The 22263-nt window shown below is 46.5% G+C and overlaps 1 protein-coding gene across 22 annotated transcripts in view, besides 6 other annotated features; it reads right to left on the reverse strand.

Moving 5' to 3' along the window:
- The window catches only part of COBL (cordon-bleu WH2 repeat protein), a 300598-nt gene that overhangs the window by 192252 nt on the left and 86083 nt on the right, over nt 1–22263 (reverse strand). For all 22 annotated transcript variants that reach the window (NM_001346443.2, NM_001346442.2, NM_015198.5 and 19 more), the window contains exon 2: nt 11278–11481. In NM_001346443.2, coding sequence (NP_001333372.1) covers nt 11278–11481 — 204 coding nt within the window. The remainder of the gene's footprint in view (nt 1–11277; nt 11482–22263) is intronic.
- Nucleotides 5221–5720: an enhancer, noted in NCBI's record as "H3K4me1 hESC enhancer chr7:51281381-51281880 (GRCh37/hg19 assembly coordinates)". NCBI's record gives its function as "activates a minimal SCP1, AML or CMV promoter by ChIP-STARR-seq in primed H9 embryonic stem cells {active_cell/tissue: H9 hESC(primed)}" and the evidence as "EXISTENCE:reporter gene assay evidence [ECO:0000049][PMID:30033119]".
- Nucleotides 16008–16716: an enhancer, noted in NCBI's record as "H3K27ac-H3K4me1 hESC enhancer chr7:51292168-51292876 (GRCh37/hg19 assembly coordinates)". NCBI's record gives its function as "activates a minimal SCP1, AML or CMV promoter by ChIP-STARR-seq in primed H9 embryonic stem cells {active_cell/tissue: H9 hESC(primed)}" and the evidence as "EXISTENCE:reporter gene assay evidence [ECO:0000049][PMID:30033119]".
- Nucleotides 16717–17425: an enhancer, noted in NCBI's record as "NANOG-H3K27ac-H3K4me1 hESC enhancer chr7:51292877-51293585 (GRCh37/hg19 assembly coordinates)". NCBI's record gives its function as "activates a minimal SCP1, AML or CMV promoter by ChIP-STARR-seq in primed H9 embryonic stem cells {active_cell/tissue: H9 hESC(primed)}" and the evidence as "EXISTENCE:reporter gene assay evidence [ECO:0000049][PMID:30033119]".
- Nucleotides 17590–18789: an enhancer, noted in NCBI's record as "BRD4-independent group 4 enhancer chr7:51293750-51294949 (GRCh37/hg19 assembly coordinates)". NCBI's record gives its function as "activates an origin of replication core promoter dependent on BRD2, P300/CBP, MED14 and CDK7 cofactors, and independent of BRD4, by STARR-seq in HCT116 cells {active_cell/tissue: HCT116}" and the evidence as "EXISTENCE:reporter gene assay evidence [ECO:0000049][PMID:35650434]".
- Nucleotides 20326–21199: an enhancer, noted in NCBI's record as "H3K4me1 hESC enhancer chr7:51296486-51297359 (GRCh37/hg19 assembly coordinates)". NCBI's record gives its function as "activates a minimal SCP1, AML or CMV promoter by ChIP-STARR-seq in primed H9 embryonic stem cells {active_cell/tissue: H9 hESC(primed)}" and the evidence as "EXISTENCE:reporter gene assay evidence [ECO:0000049][PMID:30033119]".
- Nucleotides 21331–21464: a silencer, noted in NCBI's record as "fragment chr7:51297491-51297624 (GRCh37/hg19 assembly coordinates)". NCBI's record gives its function as "represses an EF-1alpha promoter that drives an FKBP-Casp9 reporter gene in an ReSE screen in HepG2 liver carcinoma cells {active_cell/tissue: HepG2}" and the evidence as "EXISTENCE:reporter gene assay evidence [ECO:0000049][PMID:32094911]".

Raw genomic sequence — 22263 nt, forward strand, 5'->3', positions numbered from 1 at the left:
GCCACCCCATCCGGGAGGTGAGGGGCGCCTCTGCCCGGCTGCCCCTGCTGGGAAGTGAGGAGCCCCTCTGCCCGGCCACCACCCCATCTGGGAGGCGTGCCCAGCGGCTCATTGAGAACGGGCCATGATGACAGTGGCGGTTTTGTGCAATGGAAAGCGGGGAAAGGTGGGGAAAAGACTGAGAAATCGGATGGTTGCCGTGTCTGTGTAGAAAGAAGTAGACATGGGAGACTTTTCATTTTGTTCTGTACTAAGAAAAATTCTTCTGCCTTGGGATCCTATTGATCTGTGACCTTACCCCCAACCCTGTGCTCTCTGAAACATGTGCTGTGTCCACTCAGGGTTAAATGGATTAAGGGCGGTGCAAGATGTGCTTTGTTAAACAGATGCTTGAAGGCAGAGTCATCACCACTCCCTAATCTCAAGTACCCAGGGACACAAACACTGCAGAAGGCCGCAGGGTCCTCTGCCTAGGAAAACCAGAGACCTTTGTTCACTTGTTTATCTGCTGACCTTCCCTCCACTATTGTCCTATGACCCTGCCAAATCCCCCTCTGTGAGAAACACCCAAGAATGATCAATTAAAAAAAAAAAAAAAAAAAAAAAAAACATTTGCAAAGCCCTAGGTGCCTGATCAGCCAGAGGCACTCGTTCATTCCTCCGTGACCCTGAGCATGAGCTGCAGGGCCCTAACACTGAACCATAAACCCACAGGCAAACCCAATCCTACAAGAATCCCTAAAGTGCCCTCTTTCTCATGCCAATGCTACAAGAAAAGAGCATCAATAATGTTCTCATTGATACAAACAACGCTCAAAGCTATCTCCATGACAATATTTACCCTCATCCACTCTCCAGGAAGTGATTAAGGAAGAGCAGGTGCCAGTAAGGAAGATACTAGACACCCCTGGGAAGTGGGTGCTGGTGGCAGTGGGAGCACCTGGTGCGGCCTGGGCAGCCCCAACCCTCCAGAACCCCACAGCGGGGCGTGCAGGTTAATAACTACCATGAGTTCTGATTCTTTCAGATACTGGGTAAAAACCTTCAACTCAATGAAGAGCTCCAGGAAACAAAACAGGGAGAACATCACTATGCACATGCAGACACGACAGTCCACAGAGAACCCTCAGCATAGCGAACAGACTTCTTAAAAATGCGAACACCACAGGCTCCTGACCACATCCTGTGTATCTGTGATGAGCCTGTGGCCACACCATGCACTGCCCATGGTGTCCTCCAGTCCTCCTGCGGTCTGAGGATGGGGAGTGGGTCCCTGGATTTCCATGAGGCAAGGGAGCTGGGGTCCACTCTTGTCTGACCTGACTTGCTTTCCCTCTAATCCCCACCAAGAGGCTGTCTCTACCCAGTAAACAGATACAAATCAGTTGTCAAACACAAAAATTACACGAATGCAACTACTGTGATCCTCTGTTCTTTTAGTCCAATAACTGGTGACAGGTTTGGAGCATCTAGAGAGGTGAAAGGGAGTGGACAGCCCGGGGCTCCACAGCTTTTCCCCAGCACAGAGAATGATCCCACCTGGCCACGGCAGAAGCCAGTATGCAGTGTGCTCACAGAGGAGTATATTAATTGCAGCCAAATAAATAATTGAGTGCCCAAATCTCCACCTTGTGTGCCAAATGGATCTCCACAATCTGCTGGTCAATACTCCACAATGTGGGCCTTTACACCCCTGCCCCACCCTGTGAAGGCAGCTCTGCCCAGCAAGTGCTCCTCATGTGAAAGCTGCCATGATATCTTCAGCAGTCGAGGGTGGGAGTAGATCATCAACAACCCACCTGCCCAAATTTAAATTGGGGGGAGGCAAAACTCCACCCCCAAACCCTATAAGGACATGATACTAAAACCCAGTCCCCACAGACATGAGTTATCAGACATGCTTAAGTTACTTGCAGGGCACAGTTACCCTCTCAACCTGGAGGAAACCTCAGACACCATCCCTTCCCAGGGCTGGAACCCGCACCCAGGACAGCGGGGCTTCCACATGAAAGTGGGAGGTTTGGGGGCTGCCAGGAGCTCCAGCTTTGGCTCTTGCTTTGCTCTCTCTGGGGCTGCCTCTATTTGTGTCAGGTAAACACAGCTTTCTAAGGAAGACCTGACTTGGTGGCATTAAAGAACCTGGACACACACAAGCTCAACCCTGTGAGGACATGGGTCCAAAAGCAGGAACTCGTCTTATGATGTTTCCTGCAGGGTTTGAAACTTGGTGTGACCCTTCCCAGTCTCATGTAAAATTCAGCTCGATTGACTACTTTTCCACTACACACTTTTCTGGAGCACGTCTTTGCACAGCAAGGTGTGAGGGAATGCCGTTTCTGCTACTTTGCACCACGCCCTTTAAGTTGCTACTGGCTGACATTTTCAAATGCCAAACTCCAAACAGCCAGTTCTTTCTAGCCTCCTTTGATGCTACTGGAGAATTCACCCAGAGAGGCCACCCTTGGGACAATGGCAGTGCCCAACAATGGACAGAGAGGCACAGCTGCTGCCTACTCTCTGTGGGTTTTCCTTACACGCTCATCAGATCCCAACCTGCCTCTCATCTCCTGAGGACAAAGGATTAATGATTCTCTAATTGGGTGTTACAAGTGCATCCCTCCACAAGACCTCAGTAGGTCACTGTGCCACTGGGCCATGGGCAAGTGGAAGAGGCTGCCTGGCCACTCACACATTCTCACCACCTCCTGGGTCTGACCTCTCCTCCTCACCACCTCTGATGGAGCAGCCCCATCCTGATCTGCAGCTTTGCCCATTGATTAGGGATTGGGCGTGATTTCCCACATCAGCACTGGGTGCAGTGATGGCGCTCAGAACAGCCTGCCTGGGATGGAATCCTGGTACCACTGCTCACTGCCTCTCTGACCTGGGTGGGGCTGACTGCATCCTCTGTGCCTCAGCTTTATTACTGGTGAGAGCAGAATGACAGTGCCCACCTCACAGGGTGGATAGAGTTTTACGTGAAGTAACATTTTTAAGGCACCGAGCACAGTGCCAGGCATGTGGTAGGCACAAGGTCAGTACTTGCTAAATAAATGAGTTAATTTGCTCCCACCTTTTCTATTTTGGATTCTACATAGTAAGGCATTCGCCTAGCTCAGGGCAGAGGATCACCTATCTGTATGTTGCCAAACACCATCCTGCTCTCAGCAAATACCAAGATATTAGACCCTTTCAAAGCAACATCTTTGAAGCAATGCAGAATAGAGTTTCTCCAATTGTACAAAGAATAAAACTAAGACAATCAGACCCTCTCAGAATGTCAAACAAAGAGTCAGGTATGTTAGGAAAGTGACTAGGTCTAGGGCTCTCCCTGGCCTCAGGGATGATCCCATAGGATCGCCATTTTCATTGACTACACAGACATCAAGAAAAATCTCATCTCTCTCCTTCTCTCTCTGCCTCTCCTCTCTCTCTCTCATCATCTATCTACATTCAGGTTAAATCTCAGGTTCAATGGAAGGATAAAAGACAGTAACAAAATGGAATGATTACCTTAAAATCAAGAGAGCAGGGGTGGAGGGGGTTATGAGAGCAGGCCTTTCAGGTTTCTCTCCCCTTCCTCCGCGACATCATTTTTACCTCTAACGTCTTTACCTCTGTTACCCCAAATGCCTTTTAAGTGCTCATAAGATAGAGGTAAATGTTATTTTTTTTGTATTTGTTGTGGTCTCTGATTTTAAACTTAATAGAATTATTATACTTCTTTAAAAATAATATTTTCCAAATGTGTACAGACTTCAAAAAATTTTTTTGAGTCAGTGACTTCAATTAGAAAAAAACTGGTTTTCTTTTGTAGGTGGTTCTTTTTGAAATCTTAGCAGAGCCCTAGACAAGAAACGGAGAGCCTGTGCCAATACCCGTCCTAGTGCAGAGGGGCCACTGCCCCTCAGAAAGTAGGCAACAGCAAAAGACTGCTTGGGGAACACACAATGTCAGAGAAGCCAAGTCCTACTTCCATTTCCATCAGACCCTGGCCAATTAATGAATTACCCTTCTCTAATTGAGGGGACTTCGATCTACATTACAAGCCAGCTGTCCTACCAGATCCTCAGACCCCATTCAGTGTGGAAATGGACTGAAAAATACTCTGTGATGAGGCTGCCAAGGGCCGTTCTTGAGCCGCTGACACAAATCATTCCTACAGTCCCCCTGTTCATGCCACCCCACCAGTGAGACCTTGGGCTCATTCTTAGGACTGCGTACTCATCGAGTATCCCTGACATCTAGCAGAGCTAGTGGCATGCACCATAGCAAGGGATTGCAAACTTTAACACGCAATCTGAACCTTCAGGGCTTGCTGAAATACAGATTGCTGGGCTCCTCCCCAGCATTTCTACTCAGGTCTGGGGAAGGGCTGGGAATTTGCATTTCTAACAAGTTCTCAAGTGAGGCCATTGTTGCTGGTCTGGAACCCCACTTTGAGAATTGCTAGACTCTAAGTACCCAGGACGTGCACACTTAGTATGTATGTGTTAAGTAAATAGGTAACTCAGTGCCAAGTTTACAAATCACTTTAAAGTAGCTGTAGCTACTTCCCAACACAATGTTAAAACAAATTTAATTTGCATGAACTGTCAAATCTTAAACTGGTCCAGAGTGGCCTAGTTTCTTGTGTGGGACCAAGGCCACTCTGTGGCCCTAAGCTCTGGATGAGGCAGACTCTGGCATAACAGAGTCAAGCCCTGGGAGAGAGTCCAGTCTGACAGCTTAATATGGGTCCTCTACAGCAGCGGTCCCCAACCGCCTGCCACAGACGAGGACCAGTCAACGGTGTGTTAGAAGCCAGGTCGCACAGCAGGTGAGCAGTGAACAAGTAAGCATTTCCCCCTGAGCTCCATCTCCCGTCCAACCGCAGTGGCATTCGATTCTCATAGGAGAGTCAACCCTATTGTGAACTGCGTATGTGCTCCTTATGAGAACCTAGTGATACACATAATGCGCTTGAATCATCCCGAAGCCATCCCCAGCCTGGTCTGTGGAAAAACTGTCTTCCACAAAACCAGTCCCTGATGCCAAAAAGCTTGTGGCCCACTGCACTACAGGCAGTTCGTGCTGACGGGGCCCTACACAAAGGGACACATCAGCAGAACACAAAAAGGGTCAGTGTGGAGACAGGTGACCTGAGGAAGCCCAGAACCAGGGAAGTCTAGGTGTGAGGCTGAGGTCTCTGTAAGGATGCAGTTTCTGAGAGGCCTGGGTCCCGGGCCTGTCAACTGAGGTGAGTAGGGGCCTACCTCGCAGATGCAAATCAGAAGCCACATCGCCGGAAACAGAACCCATGACTAACAACAGAGCCACAGTGAGGAGGACGGTGTCAGACCTCAGAGAGTTGGCCAAGCCCTCACAAACCCACACACCTCCTGGGGCCAAGCAGCTGCTACCAGTCTGTGAGGGCTCTCATGATGTGAATTTAGTGGGGGCGGGGGTTGCTGCTAACTGGAAAGGGAATGCCTTCTATAAAGGCATCCGCATTTCAAAACTGTTAAAAGACAATGCTGGCTGTGGGCACGGTGGCTCACGCCTGTAATCCCAGCACTTTGGGAGGCCGAGGCAGGCAGATCACTTGAGGTCAGGAGTTCCAGACCAGCCTGGCCAACATGGTGAAACCCCGTCTCTACTAAAAATGCAAATATTAGCTGGACGTGGTGGCACGCATCTGCAATCCCAGCTACTCGGGAGGCTGAGGCAAGAGAATCACTTGAACCTCGGAGGCAGAGGTTGCAGTGAGCCGAGATTGTGCCGCCACTGCACTGTAGCCTGGGCAACAGAGCAAGACTTCATCTATTAAAAATAAATAAATAAATAAATAAATAAATAAATAAATAAATAAATAAAGACAATGCTGGTTGTGTCCTTTGACATGGAGAGAGGTGATGTGCAGAGTCTGGGAACCTGGGAAAACCACCAGTTACCCTGTCCAGATGGGATGTGTTACCTGGACAGGTGTGAACAGGCGATCTCAGACATGGAGTGCATTCTGGTTGGCTTCAGCCTTGAAGGAATCCCTTTGCTGACCACAGTAACTGTGACCTTTCTTAATTCTGATCTCCTCATTTTTTGGCCTACATCTTGGAGGTCACCTTACTTCATAATCTAGAGCCTTCTGTGTCCAGATTATAAGCAAGTTAGTTGTTTTCTATGTGATTCTCACTCAGCAGATCAATCAACATGTACCCTGGGGGCCCCTGACATAGCCCAGTTACCCTTAAAATCATCTGTTAGTGTTGGGCTTAAAAATGCATGTCAATTTTGTATGCTACTTTTCATATAAAACTATTTTTCCTGTGTTTGAAGAAAATTAATACTGCGATGCAACAGCTTCCTCATTGCTTGCCTAGCACTGTTCCCAGTGGCACACGCAGTCTTGTTTGAGATCGGTGGAGCTGCAGGGAGGCCTACAGGATACTCTTCAGTACAGGCCATACCAGTGTCCAGGCCAACATACCTCCTGCTTCTCAGCCTAGCTTCAAGCAATATTGAATGCCCTGCTTCTCACATAAACCGGCATTTTGCAAGTGTTATTTTTTTTTTCTACTTGCTGAGGAGTCTTCTTCACAGTGCCTCACGAAAGTTAGCAATAAACTCAGTATATATTTTGACCCATGAATAAATAAGCATGATCACATGCTTTAATCCATCAAGATCTCACACCATGAGACCTCCCTTACGTATAACTGGTATAACACCAATGTCAAAAACACCAACAGCACCTTCTGTGAACGTTTAGGAAGAATGTGTCCACCTTTTGTGAAGATAAGCAGTTCATAGTTTATAGCCAGCTCCTTAACCTTGTCACTTCCCCACAAAAAAGATTTTCGTAAAGAAAACATATTAGAAATCGGATGTTGATAGCATTCTGCAAATCACAGTGGGCTTTTTGGCATGTTTTTGTTTTTTTCAGCTTTGTTTGGATTAAGCCCACACAAATAAAGCCTTAATGAGGCAGAAACATCACAGGGAGGTTGGGAAGGCGGGCATTAGAAATGATGAGTGAAGATCCAGATGATCATACCCACTGAACATACCAAGACTCACTTCTAGCTCAGGTTACCAAAGTGGGCTCTGGCTCACAGGAATTTACTCTATTGTAATGGGTAGTCTTCGAATAGAAGCATAATCACACCAAGGTGCACCTGACTTTTAACCTTGTGACTTTTGGAACAGCCTTCTTGGGGCCTACTCAACAGTGCATGGCAGCAAAGCTGTCCTCTCGAAAGTTACTTCCTTCAGCCTCTGGGGCCAGGACCTCACATCCAAGAGTGCAAGGCCAAGGCCATGACCTTTCAGAGGCTGTACATGTGCTCCATCAATACCTTCACAGGACAGAGAGGGATGAGGGTCCCTCCCAGCCTCCCTTCCCTTGCACCTGAGAACAGGTGAGCCCTCTACAGAAGGAACATGGAGACCCAACACCTGCTGCTGCAAGAGTCCTGTGCTGTTTCACACAGACAGGGACCTAAAACTCCCTGCACAGGTCTAAGCTTGTCTGTTGTAAAGGGGATGCAATGGCCTGTAAAGGCAGAATCACAGGACTGAATATGAGGCAGATTTCCTCTCTTCTGCAAAAGGAAGGCTTGCCTTCTTCTGCCCTAGCCCTTGGCCTTGAACACCAGTTTGGACACAAGGCACTGACCATATCATAATGACACAGCCTAGCACACTAAATACCTGACACCCTTTTGTAAAGGGCTCTTTGAAGATCTTTTCTTTTTTTTGACGGAGTCTCAACTCTGTTGCCCAGGCCGGAGTGCACAGGCACAATCTCAGCTCATTGTAACCTCTGCCTCCCAGGTTCAAGTGATTCTCCTGCCTCAACTTTCCGAGTAGCTGGGGTTACAGGGAAGCACCACCACACCCAGCTAATTTTCTTTACTTTTAGTAGAGACAGGTTGGCCAGGCTGGTCTCAAACTCCTGACCTCAGGTGATCCGCCCACCTCAGCCTCTCAAAGTGCTGGGATTACAGGCATGAGCCACTGCACCTGACCAAAAGATCTTCTGTTCTTGTGCCTCAATTAAAATGATGGGATTGTGGCCTCTGTCCAGCAGCTGTGTGGGGTGCTGGTAATACCATCCTTAAGGTAGGCCAGAACATTTCCCCTATGAACGGCTCAGAGCACCAATTCTCATGTCTTAATCTGTAAGAACAGACTTCAACTTTTATTTATGTTTCTTAATTCAAGGGAAGCTAAAAAAAAAAAATTCACTGATTTTCCATATGGGATTATCAGCATCCAATTACTAATGTGTTTCCTTTGTGGAATCCTTCATGTCAGGAAATAACACAGTTAAGGGGCTGACTATAAATTACAAACTCCTTGCTTACCCTATGAAAAGGTTGCATGTTCTTTACTAAACCCACTTTTTAAGACAGAAGAGAAACCACAATGACAAAAAACAAGTAGATCTATTTTAAGCAAGGGTCAGGAATTTAACTGCAGCCCACTCTTATATTAATAAAGAGCATAACATAAAACCAATTCCCAAAGCAAGGAGCTACTGCATCCGCAATAGTTATCCCACCAAAGACCCACTGGAGGCAGCTCACAGCTGCTGCTATAACTCACTGATGCTTCAGGAAACCATGAGAAGGGATAATAATTCACTACTTAAGAAAGATAACATTATTTTAACACTCCATCTCTAAGGCTGCACCTATTCTCAGTCACTACATTACAAAACTTCATGGTGGCAACCTCTACTTTATAAGGGAAATAAAAGAAATGAAAGCATTCTTTTAAAATAATATTTTTACTTTTAGAATGCGCATTCTATTCTTTCCTTGTGCATTTGTAAAACTGGATCCATGGACTGCAGAATTAAGACATGATCCACAATGCCATTTTCTTTTCTTTTTCTTTTTTTTTTTTTTTTTTGAGATGGAGTTTCTCTCTTGTTGCCCAGGCTGTAATGCAATGGCGTGATCTCGGCTCACCACAGTCTCCATCTCCCGGGTTCAAGTGATTCTCCTACCTCAGCCTCCCGAGTAGCTGGGATTACAGGCATGCGCCACCACGCCTGGCTAATTTTTTGTATTTTTATTAGAGACGGGGTTTCACCATGTTGGCCAGGCTGGTCTCAAACTCCTGACATCAGGTGATCCACCTACCTCAGCCTCCCAAAGTGCTGGGATTACAGGCGTGAGCCACCATGCCTGGCCCACAATGCCATTTTCTAAACAAAATATGTACCTAGGAATTGGGCTAAAATATAAGAATGGCGAGTAAACCCTAATATACCCACTGAGAAAATTTCATGCATATACTAAAGTGTTTTTTAAAACTATAATAATGCGACTAATTTCTTACGTTACAAAGTTATATAGGAAAAGTGTACTTTGGCCTATGACTACTTTATAAAACAAAGAAACTCACAGAAACTCCTGTCTCTCCACTGTGCATGAACCCTGGGGGGAAAGCCTATCGAACTGCCGCAAGAGATAGTGGCTTCCGGTGGACCAGGCTTTGAGCCCAGGCACCTCCCACCTTGATCCACTGTAGACAGTTAATTGCGCCTGAGCCCTCCTGCTATGATCACAGCCACAGGGCCCCCACTGAGGAGCAACCTCCCATTCTAGCCCAGTGGCACCACACTGGAGAGCAGGCTGGCCTCACCTGGTGCAGCTGAAATACTGTATCCCATGACTCAACAGTTCCAATCCTAGGTATATTCCGAGGCCTCGAGCAATGCTCCCCAAATTTTTATTCACTTATCTCATAAAATACTTTTGAAAAATGTATGCACCCCTTTGCCAATTAGACTGTCACCTGGAATTTTGATTATAAACTGGTTAATTTGATAAAGTAACAAAATAGTTGCAAAGGATTAGGTAATTTCAACTATAATCTAAATACTGGTATTTTAAAATAAAATGCTTACATCACTTTTTAAAAGGCATCTGTGAGAATAAAAACACCCAGAGTGATTTAATTTTCACCGTTATCCATTAAAATTACTCAAGCAAACTGCTTCATAAGAATAAAACATTTTATATCATTTCTTTTTTTCTGGAGATGAAGTTTCACTCGTTGCCCAGGCTGGAGTGCAATGGCACAATCTCGGTTCACTGCAACCTCTGTCTCCTGGGTTCAAGCAATTATCCTGCCTCAGCCTCCCAAGTAGCTGGGACTACAGGCATGCACCTCTATGCCTGGCTAATTATTTTGCATTTTTAGTAGAAATGGGGTTTCACCATTTTGGCCAGGCTGGTCTCATACTTCTGACCTCAAGTGATTCGCCTGCCTCAGCCTCCCAAAGTGATGGGACTACAGGCCACCGTGCCCAGCCCATTTTATATCATTTCTTATTCTCCTTGTTTTCTTATAAATGCTGCTTCAATTCACTGCTGCATCAGAATCATACAAATATGTATGAATGCTTGAAAGTTTTTGTAATTAATCATTCTATCATACTTCTCTTCAGTAAAACGTATAAATTATAGTTAACTTTTTTCTGTGACTTTGTTAGTTTTTTTATTATACATTGGGTTATCACTAAAAGTATCAGTAAGAATAGCACAAAACTATTTAAACAATAAAATCATGATTATTTTGATCACTGTCAAACATAAAATGTGCAAATCTATTGGTCACAAACTCAAAATGCTATGATGAAGGAGACTTTGCCAATGTTTCAGCCGCACCTTTTGTGAGTGAAGTGCAGTGAGACACTCAGCCACGGGCAGATCAGTCCTGAGAAGAGTGCATGTGGGAACTGAGGGTCTCAAATTCAAGCCCTTAAATTGGAAATCCATGATTGGGTTGGTTTATTCCTTCATCTAAACCTGAAATATTTTCACTTTAGAAAGTTGATTGCCAGTTGTACACACACCTCCACATATTGCTGCAAGTAGGTGTGGGAATGGTTAATTTAGGAGGCTGCCCTCCTGGCTGCGTCCCTTCAGAGCTGAGGATACCTGAGGCACACTGTGGCTGCTGTCCCACCCAGGGGTGTAGGTCACCGCTGTACCTGCCCTCGTTTCTGAGCCTGCCTCCTCATAGGAGGCAGCCCTGGAGCCCCAGCTCTCCTAAGCATCTGGTGAGCCATCATGGCTGGATCAATTAGCATAAGCCCACCCCAGGTAAGACAGACAGTTCAGCCTGCTCTAAGTAGTCACTAAGCCCGATTTATATCCATGAGGTTCCTGAGGTCAGACCTGATGAGGAGGAAAATGCAATACATCAACATCCGCCTTTCCATTCTCCCCGCTATACTCGCAAAGTGAGTACAGCGACTCCTCCTGCAGCACCGGCTCTCACCTCCCATTGAGCACGCTCCTCTTCTCCAGCCCACTAGGCAGGACCACGGTGACGTCCATGGTGCTGGCCCTCAGCGCCTCCTTCATGCGAACCAAGTTCTGCTGCGACCCGAGGGCCCCATCGTGGGGGGGCTTCTGGTCACTGTGCACATGCAGAGTGGCAGCCTTTCCAGGAGGTGGGGGAGCACGAGCCTTCATCTTCCTCCTTAAAAACAACAACACAAAGGCACAGAGTCAGTGGCAATGTTCCTACCTGCCTCGGAATAATTCGTTCTTACACATACTCAGGTCTGTCTTCAGGAGCACCTTCCAAGTGCCACGGCCTTTTTAAAATCAATGTCCCCCAAACAAGTAAAAACTAATAAAGTAAACAAAATAGAGAAAGGGTTATTAAAAGGAAGCATTCCCGGAAAGAAACACCTTAAAAACATGCTTGCTGTCAGGGAGGTACACAAGCCTGTATTCACAGGATCTGGTCAAGGGGAGGGTGGGTGCAGCAGGGTTTCGCCCGACCCTTTCTGAATTGTCACAGGGATGACACATCACACGAATTAATGATCACAATGAATCAGGTGGGCTCACTAACACATGTGACACTTTATTAAATCTTGCCCCAGCTCCAAATCTATGGCCAGTTCTGAGGATCTGGAGTCCATGGATCCATGATCTCGAGGATGTGTTGTGCTAAATTAGCCAGAAAGTCGATCACACCACCACCTGTCCACACGGCCACCGTGGACAGATGCGGCTGTTTGGCAGGGAAAGGATGCGGGTGATGGTAAAGGGATTACTAACGCATAACCCCCTTTGCCTTTGTTTTCACCTTATTTCAGACTGTGCTTCAAATGCTCAATTCACCTCGTGGGGTATTTCTAAACACCTGATGAGTCACCCACACTGAGGAACATTTTCTTTTAACATTTATTTTAGGTTCAGGGGTCCACGTGCAGGTAAATTGCGTGTCACCAGGGTTAGGTGTACAGATTATTCCATCACCCAGGTAGTGAGCACAGTACCCAACAGGCGGTTTTTCAATCCTCACCCTCCTCCCACCTTCCGCCCTCAAGTAGGCCCTGGTTCTGATGAACATTTTTAGAAATTCTTGTTTCCGCCAGATTAGCCAGGGAAAGCAACTGGCCTTGTTTTATACAGGTACCTTATTTTATACATAGAATACATATATATGTGTGTATATATATGTATGTACATATTTTGATTTAAGAACCTTACTTTATATAGGCCCTGGTATTTTATTGTCGTGGTAGCAGGTCGAGTACTTACTCGATACTTAACATCCACTAGGACCTATGCTAATAATAACCTTACCAAGTTTACCTTATTGAGAGATCTGTGGCTCACCTAAAGGCATACAATTATCCGGTGCCTGCACAGACATGGAACTCAGACCTGGCTGACTCCAGAGGGTTTGCTCCCGCTGCCTCCCTCCCGCTCTGGCCATACCCTAGTTAGAGGGTCCACAGAGAGGCAGTGAGAGCCTCAGCACACCTTCACCTCTGCTCAGAGTGGTCTTCCAAAGGCATTTGGCATGAGGGATCAGAGACACAGGAATTCCTTTCCTAGAAATTTACTCTAAACAATCCCACAAGACAGCATTGTGGGAGGCTCAAAGATGGTCATCACGACATAAATTCTAATGGCAAACAAATAACCCAACCATACATTAATAAATTAACACATCAAACAAATAATCTAATCATGCATCAATGAAAGACAATGTCAATAAATTATGTTATACCAGAACTAGGCAAACATATCCTAAAAGTATATTGTTTTATGTGCAAAAATGCTCAATACAGGCTTTTTAAAATAACAAGTTTCAGAATATTATTTGTTTAGGAAAATTCTATTTTTAAAGAGAGGTCTACATTAATTATAGCAATGGATCATATAGCAGTTTAGAAAGATAAAGAATTGGCAAAAATGACCTTGGGTGATGGGTAGTATGACATATGTTTTGCTATTTTTATTTCTACACATTTCCTAATTGTTCCATAGTTATCACTTGTATATGTATTACTTATAAAATGAAAGAGGTCATTTAAAACGACAGCAAAAGTGATTAGATGAGGCTGTAAACTTACTGACATTCATGTCACTGGTTAATGTAAAGTTACGCACATTCACGTCATTAAAATAACATTCAGGGGCCAGGTGTGGTGGCTCATGCCTGTAATCCCAGCATTTATGGGAGGCCAAGGCAGCCAGACTGCCTGACTCAGGAGCTCAAGTCCAGCCTGGTCAACACGGTGAAATTCTGTCTCTACTAAAAATACAAAAAATTAGCCAGGCGTGGTGGCAGATGCCTGTAATCCCAGCCAGTTGGGAGCCTCAGGCAGGAGAATCACTTGAACCTGGGAAGCAGAGGTTGCAGTGAGCCGAGATCGCACCACTGCACCCCAGCCTGGGCAACAAGAGTGAAACTCCGTCTCAAAAATAATAATAATAATAATAAAATAACATTCAGATCTCATCCTCTGCTATAAGTAGGTATAAATTCTCTTTTTCTTATTAAAAGGCTTATACTTACAATATTTATAATTTTTGTTATATCTTTATCCATTATATACTTCTTTCAATTTATAGAAATAAAAATAAAATAGTCAACATATATGGCACCATTGTAAGGACTAAATATTTATTCAATTCCTCAGTATACCACTTTAAGGAGGTATTACTGATATTCCTATTTTATAGCTGAAAGTGTGAGCACACCTTCCCAATGTCACAGAGAGGTAAAACTGACAAACTGAAGACAATTTGGTTTCAAAGCCTGAAATTTTAACCACTATGTTATTCAGTCATTATTAGAAAGAACAGATTCCATACCATTTCAGAGATGGAAAAAATCAAGACAGAGAGAAACAGCTTATGGATTCTTTCATTAACCACCCTTTGGTCTAGGGGTAGAGGCCCAGGCTCGGAGACATTAGCATTACCTCCCAAAGGTGTTTTCAGGGGAAAAAAAAAAAAGTGTTTTTCATTTTTAGGAAAAGAGTATCTTTTCCAATTTAGCTGGCTTGGACTCCTTTAGAACTCACCAGTTCAAATAGGAAGCAGCATTTATTCATTTAGCCGGCACCACAATGGGAGTGAGAGGCTGGAGAGAGTCGGGAGAGGTTTTGACTGCCCCACACTTATCCCCAACAAATAATCTGTCCCCAGCTACCCAGAGGCACCCTTGTAATAGAATTTTATCCACCCTCCCTCCCCACGTCCAGTGTCAACACCCTGGTCCAAGCCCTCATCTCTACAGCACACACAAAGGTGGAGTCACGTGAATCACATACGGTGTGTACTCCACCCTTCCCTCCACAGTGTGACTAGGAGCAGCCTGCGAGGGCTGTTGTCTTCTCAGGCCTGACTTTGCTCGGGGCACGCACTGCTTACACGCCTGGCAGGGCCCACTGGCTGTGGCCTAAGCTGCAACCAGCAGGCTGCAAGGGCGGCAGGGAGGTTTGTTTGCCCAGCAGAGTGCTGTGAGCATTAGTGTGTACATGCATGTGTGTGTGCCTGCGTGTGCACGTGTACACATTAAAGTTAGCCAACATTTAAAAAATTGTAATATGTCACACTAACAAAATGAATTTTGGGCTGCTTTTGGGGAAAAAAGGTTTGATGATGCCTGGACATCTTCACAGTAAAAAACGGCTGTGTGTTTCCATCTGGACCTATTGACCACTGGACCTGTTGGCTCAGTGACGTCACACATCTGTGCCCTGTAGGGCTATAAACTCACATCCAAACTTCCAGAGAGTCTGAAGATCTCCACCAGCCCTAGACCTGAACCATTCTTCAATATCCTCCACTCTTCTGGCAATTGGCCTACAGCTCCAGTTTCCAGGAAACCAACCAGTCCCCCAACTGCCTTGGCCTCACTGTACTCTCTGCCTCACTTGTTCTGCTCTCAAAGACATGGCTCAAAACTATGTCGTCAGAGAACCCATTTCTGGGTGCTCCAGGCCTGGGCACACACATAGCTGAGATCAGTGATATCTACGTTGGCTGCACTGTGGCTGGAAGCACTTGGGGAGCTTAAAATATGCCCAGGTCCTATCATGGACCAATTAAATCTGAATACCAATTCAATTATTATTTAACAATTCTAGAAGGCAGCAAGGACATTTGTATTCTCAATATGTAGCATAATGTAGTTCATATTTGTGGGTGCAGACATCTACCACATAATGCTTCAGTCACTGACAGACCACATATATAAAGGTAGTCCCCTAAGACTGTAATACCTTTCCTATGGTTAGATATGTTGAGACATACAAATGCTTACTATTGTGTTACACTTGCCTACAGTGTTCAGCACAGTAACATGCCGCACAGGTTTGCAGCCCAGGAACAATAGGCTACAGCATACAGCTAGGTGTGTAGTAGGCTCTACCATGTAGGTATGTGTTGGGTACATTCTGTGATGTTCACCCAAGGATGAAGTCCCTTAAGGATACATTTCTCAGAGTGCGCCCCTATCATTAAGCTATGTATGACCGTACTTAAAAATGCTTATTGATGATGATGATATTGACACTGCTGAAAATTATACATAGTTCCTGCTTACAAGAAACACTGCGTACTTATAAAAGCCTGAGATAGGAATGAAAAAGAGATTGCAGAATAAATGTTCCAAACGAGCCAAGCTTTCTGAGGGAGAAAAAACCTGTGTGGACCTCATTAGTGGAGTATCCACCCTAACACCCTAGCCGAGGTGGCCTTGAACAGTCTTAAAGATGAGCAGAAATTTCATATATGAGAAAAAGAGACAAAGCCTGGGGCAGGAGGAGAAGTCCCCAAAGAGAAAAAGGAAAAAAAAAAATGCTGTACTGCACATCACAGGAGAAGACGCTAAAACAGCATGCCCGGGCTAGGGACAACTGACAGACAGCACACCACGGTGTCTGGGTTTTTTATTTTATTATTATTTTTTCTTTTTTTGAGATGGACGGCAATGGCGCAATCTTGGCTCACTGTAACCTCTGCCTCCCAGGTTCAAGTGATTCTCCTGCCTCAGCCTCCCAAGTAGCTGGGATTACAGGCATACCCGGCTACCAAATTTGCCACCATACCCGGCTAATTTGGTATTTTTAGTAGAGATGGGGTTACACCATGTTGGTCAGGCTACTCCTGACCTCAGGTGATCCGCCTGCATGTGGGTGACCTGTGCGTGTGGGCGGCCCGTGCATGCGGGGGCGGCCCGTGCATGTGGGCAGGCTGTGAGTGTGGGTGGACTGTGTGTGTGGGTGGACTGTGTGTGTGGATGGCCTGTGCACGTGGATGGCCTGCACAGGTTTAGACCAGGCTTGTTCCCCATTGTCTGTTTCGTGCTTTCAGTGTGGCTTCTGTTAAACGCAGGCACCATCCTGCAGCTAACACAGTCACAGCACAAAACAGAAAACGCCTGGCTTCCTCTGCCTGTGAGTGGCTCAGCCTGGGAAAGAATGGCTGCTATTTACGTGGGGACTCCACATCTGTACTCGGTTGTGAAAAGTCATTAGCTTACCAAGCAGGGGATGCCTTTCTCAAACATCTGTGCAGATGTCATGTGGTTGAGTCTGAGACTCAGATGCATGTGGCAGTTTAAAAAGAGTAGGCCTTCTGCACAAGTCTAAAGAGGCCATCAGACCTGGGACCTTGCCCGGCTCCTGCTGGGCACACCCATCGCAGGTGCTCCCGGCTGGCAGTGCACACAGGCTGGGTAATCCAGCTTTCCTTCCTCTCACCCCCTCCAGTAGGAGGCAGGGCAGGTCCTTGGGACTCAGCAGGGAATGAATCACAGCACACACAACTCAAGCTTCCTTTGATCTATTCAGGTTGAAAAACCTGGGTGTGCCCTGGCAGGAACTGTTTATAAAATGAAAAAGTATATATATGAAAACATTTCTGCCATTTCCAAGGTCATCAACCATAGCTCTAAATGATTTTAGCTTAAAACCATCACACATTTACTAAGTTTCAGGATGACGCTTGTTAATTCCCACATCAGCTGGAAGCTCCCAGCTGGGTTTTTATTCTGAGAGCTCTTCAACATTCAGCAGAAGGCTTGAAATCCACTCACTGAAAGTCAGAGGGTCTTAGGTGACATGGTGCAGTGAATGCAAATCGCAGGTGTGAGGCCCAGGTAGCTGAATTAAAACCTAACTCTATAGGTGACAGCCACTGCCCAGCCAGGCTGGTCAGGCTGAGGTAGACAGGGACTGCATGCTGAAAAGGGAAAATTCATGCGTCTCTGTACTTTCCCAGACCCTGAGTTCAAAAGCACTATGCTTTACATCTTCCATCTTTCCAGTTGGAAATGTCATCTGTGGACCTGAAGGTATAACAATTTCTTACTGTCCAAGAAAAGTGGACTGGGAAATCCACAGTGATGCTGAGGCCAGCTGACCTGAATGGCACCTCTACACCATGGGTGCCTGTTTACCATGTTGGCTACTCTGGCTGGCTGCTGGCAAACCGCATGTGCTTAAAGGGAATTTCAGAGAGAAACCAGGCACACCCGGCTCTCCTGGCTAAGAGAGTCTGTTTATGCTGCAGGCAGAAGGGAGTTGCCATTCTCTCTCCATGAGATTCTTCAGCAATAGGATGTTTGCTTCATCCTGTTTACAAGCGGTACATAAGCTGCGTCTGGTTTGTGTCTGGCTATTTATTTGCAGCCACAGTTGTAGACTTCCCTCTACCAAGGGAAGAGGAACCATGACTTTCTTGTTCATCACTGGTAAGTGAAGTGCTGGGCCCAGGGAAGGAATTCGGTCACCACTGCGTTGAGTGAGTGAGTGAGTGAGTGAGTAAGTGAGTGACTAAGTGAGTGAGTAAGTGAGTGAGTGAGGGAGTGAGTTGGGATTCAGCTGCCAAGTCAGTGCCCAGTTTTCTCAGCAATAATAAAAAGTCAGAAAGATGTCCAGAAACAAATGCCCAGAAGACAGCTGAGTGCTACCGCAGCCTGCAGAACTGGTTACCAAAGAGGGGAATGAGGAATCCTCGCATCCTGTACCAGCTCCCACATCCCTGAGTCCAACACTAATCTGATTTAAGCCCTCATTTTCTAAACATGCCATGATCCAGCCACCATGCCACACTGTGTATGTTCAATACCCCTGGCAACTTCATATGCAAGTGTATTCTCCCCATTTTACAGACAGGGTGGCTGAGTATCCAACCAGTTAAGTAACCTTCTCACAATCACACAGCTGGAAAAGACTGGAATTCTAGCCCAGGTCTTTCTGAGCCTAGGACACCACCTACACACTTTGCACCGCCTCCAGCCTTAATTACTTCTTGAAAACAAGCACCGGGGTTCCTGGCAGACTGATGCTAGGATGTTTGGACTCCTTGACACATACTAGAACGCTGGTGCCCTGCAGTGCCGGCTGATGAGCGGTGAGGTTAGAGAATACTCTTCAGTGAAGGTTTCCAGCACACAGTTGTAGAGACGCCCCCTTTACTCTGATGTGGGGTCTGGACAAGCCTTATTTGCAAACTGAGTTGGGCCTCCAAGAACTTCCTTCAGTGCTCAAGGTTCCACGAGGCTCAGATGGACGCATGGGGACTGTGTTCAACTGCCTCAGGAGACAGAGGAAGACTGGAGTCACAGGGAGATGGAAGGACGTGCCCCGGCATGACATGAGGTAGGTGGCAGAGCTGGAACAGACCCCAGATTAGTCTCAAGCATCCCTGAATACACCTTTAGGGTCAGGTACTTCTTTGAGTATCTGATGAAGGCCATGGACCTTCTTCCAGGCAAGATGCACTCCAGCCTGCTTGCCACCAGCCAGGAGCACCTGCTATGGGTGTGCCCAGCAGGAGCTAGAAAAGATCCCAGCTCTGATGACTTCCTTAGACTTGTGCAGAGACCCTGCTCTTTTTAAACTGCCACATGCCCCTGAGTCTCAGACTCCTAAGCCTCTTCCTTGTACATTATTTCTGCAAACCACCCTGATGACCAGGGACTCCAGATTAAGAATCCATGTAATACCTTTTCTTGGAGCTCAGCACCTCCCAAGCTCAGGGCAATGTTCCTGTGAAGACAAGAATTCCTTCTAATAGAGGAGAAGAGCTATCAGAGGAAAATCCCATCAAAGCTTTCCCCACTGTCTTGGCCCCTGCAAACAAAACGGAAAGCCAGAAAAACAGTCAACAGAAGATCCAGATAAGTAAGGGCTGAAATATGTGTCTATGAAACAATCACACTGCAGCCCACAGAATTGTGGCATAAAAACAATAAATATCACACTGGAGCAATAAGCCAGGGAGAAACGACTTTACCCATCAAAACGCCACATTTCAGGGCACACAAAGGCACTGTCTGTTGAAAGTCTGCCCCAGGACACTCCACAGCTGTACACCATCCACCACATCCTGGTTACATGCTCTAGAGCTGGAAAAACATCAGGTCAAATCCAGCCACGACGTGGCCACGCTGTGCATCTCCCCCAGATAAGCTCCTGTAATCTGTAGGCCTCAGTTTCCCCAAGAGCTGAACAGAGAGAGATTTCAGCTTTTATCAGCTGAGTAAATGGGAGGATTAAATGAGATGACCCCTGTAAAGTTTCTGGTATGGCACCGAGACACAGGTAGCACTCAATGACTGGTGGTAATTACAAATTTTTTTACTATTATTATTAGCACGCTTACTCTTTTGGATTAAAAAAAAAAGAAGCAGGCCTCTTGTCTCTGCGAGGGTAGAGTAGAAGCTGGCTCCTCAAAATGCCTAATAAAAGCTCATTTATGCAGCAAATGCATTCATAACTGCCTAAGAAATCCTACACAATAGAATTTCACAGTTTTGACCTGGGGGTGGGGGAAGCTTTCAGTAACTCAACATAAAAAGATTAGCTTTCTAGATAGGATTCTCTAAGACATAATAACAAAACATATCCATAACACTCACCAAACTAAACTCCAGGGCCTGTAGATATGGGAACACTGATATCTCACAACACATCAAGTAAATATTCAAAGAGGAACATTTGAGAGCCCAGTCCCACAGCTATTACTCAACTCCCAGCAAGTGAAGAAAGAGCCTGTCGGTGAGGATCACTTAACTATCGGCAAATACTCCATGCTCATGCTGAGCAGAGCAACCCCTGTTCCAAGTTTCAGATAAAACCCTGAGTTACTACATTGTTCAATATTATAGAAAAAGGATATCTCCTTCAAAAAAAAAAGCAGTGCTAGTTTACTGAAGTTTGAACATTCTTAACAAATGAAATGGAATAGATCAGAGAAAACTTACTGATTCCCAAACCACCAGGCAATGTTTGCATACATCCCAAGCTGTCCCCTGCCCTTGCCTGGAGTGGGTTTGCTTTGCCCCCTAAAAGGAGCACAAAGGGCTTTCTACCGCACAGCCAACGCTGTTCCAGGAGCTAACGGACAGAAACCGCTCCTTGGGCTTCCCTGGACGAGGAGTGCAGAGTGAAGCAGTGCCCTGAGAACTAGCAGAGGCATCCGATCCAATTCAGCTAGTGACTTATTCATAAATGTGCCACCCGATGCAGCTTTTCCCCGAGCAAGCCCGCGGTGCCGGCGCCTGTACTCCCGGCAACGGAAATCTCAAGTCATTTTGCAGAAAGACAGTGAGTGAATTGTCTTGGTTCACTTGTTCACAAACCCTCCAAGCCTGGAAAATGAGAATGAGACCGCGAGAGTTGTGAGGGAGGAAGGGCTGAGCTCGCCTTTCATCGGGATGCCTGGCAGCAACCTTACTTCCTTTTCCCAAGGTGCATTCGTCCACCACCTTCTTGGAGTTTTCCAGGGCAGGCAGCCCAGGTGATCCCTTCAGGAGAAAGCCTAATTATTCCCGGAGAGCCAAGTCAGCTCTGTACCTTAGCTGACCAACCTCGGCATTTGCTGAATTTGTATAAAGCAATTCTTGCCACCTCTCAGGCATGATTTAGTACATTCTTTTCCTAAAGGAGTTTTGATTTTTTTCTTCTCTTATCCCCCAAAACTACGCAACCAGAAGCTCACTGCTTTCTTGCAGCCAGTCTCTATGTGGCAGCATGGATTTTCAAGCTTGAAAGCCGTATTTGGTTTCTGCCAACCATTGTCCCAGGACTACAAAGACACGGCCAAACTGCTCAATATGTGCAGATGGATACACCGTGAGCTTGACGGGCTCCCAGCTCCTGTCCAAGCAAGGGCCCGAAGGTCCCAGCAAGGGCACAGTAGGTTTGGGGATGGAGGGATCTGGTCATGCCTCTAGATCACACCCCTACCTTTAGCCCCTGCTGCCTTATCTGTGCAGGCTGCAGTATCACCTGAATTTAACCGTGTCCCTGACTGGCAGACCCCAGAGCTCTGGTTGACCTCGCTCCCCCAGCAGGGAAGAGGCATGGCCAGGCCAGCACAGCCCTGAGAAGCAAGGAGTGTGCCCCCAGCTGCCCCCATCAGACACACACCTCCTCCAAGCTTCTCTCCTACGTGGACACCACACCTGCAGCACACTGCCACCTCGCTGCCACAACCTGAGGAGACTGTACCAGTCTGCTGGTTTCTAGGCCTAACAACACCCAATGAAGAGCTCTCCGGGGCACCACTGCCTCTCCTGCCTCTCCATTTCAGTCATGGCTTCATTATGTGCCAAGGTTTCTACCTCATTGTCATCTCTGTCTCTTCTTCCTCCCAAGGCCAAAGACTGCCAAGCTGATTCCAGCTCTGCCAAGGCTCAAACCCAGCCCCTCCTTTACCCCGTTCCTGCTCCACTGTTGCTCCTTTCCCCACACATGGGATTCTATCTGACTTCCTGCTGGCCCCTTCCCACCACCCCTGCTCCACTGCTGCTCGGGGCATTGTCTTCTCTCCCCCAGACTCTTACAGTGGACTCTGAAGGAATCTCCTGCATCACCTGCCTCCCCTTCTTGAGTCCCATTTCCACACACTGAAGATGAATATTCCTCAAGGACGGCTCCATCTGGCCATTCTTCCTAATGCAAACACGTTAGTGGTCCCTCTGCCCACTGGGTGA

Source organism: Homo sapiens, chromosome 7 (assembly GCF_000001405.40).
Source record: "Homo sapiens chromosome 7, GRCh38.p14 Primary Assembly".
Lineage (NCBI taxonomy): Eukaryota > Metazoa > Chordata > Mammalia > Primates > Hominidae > Homo > Homo sapiens.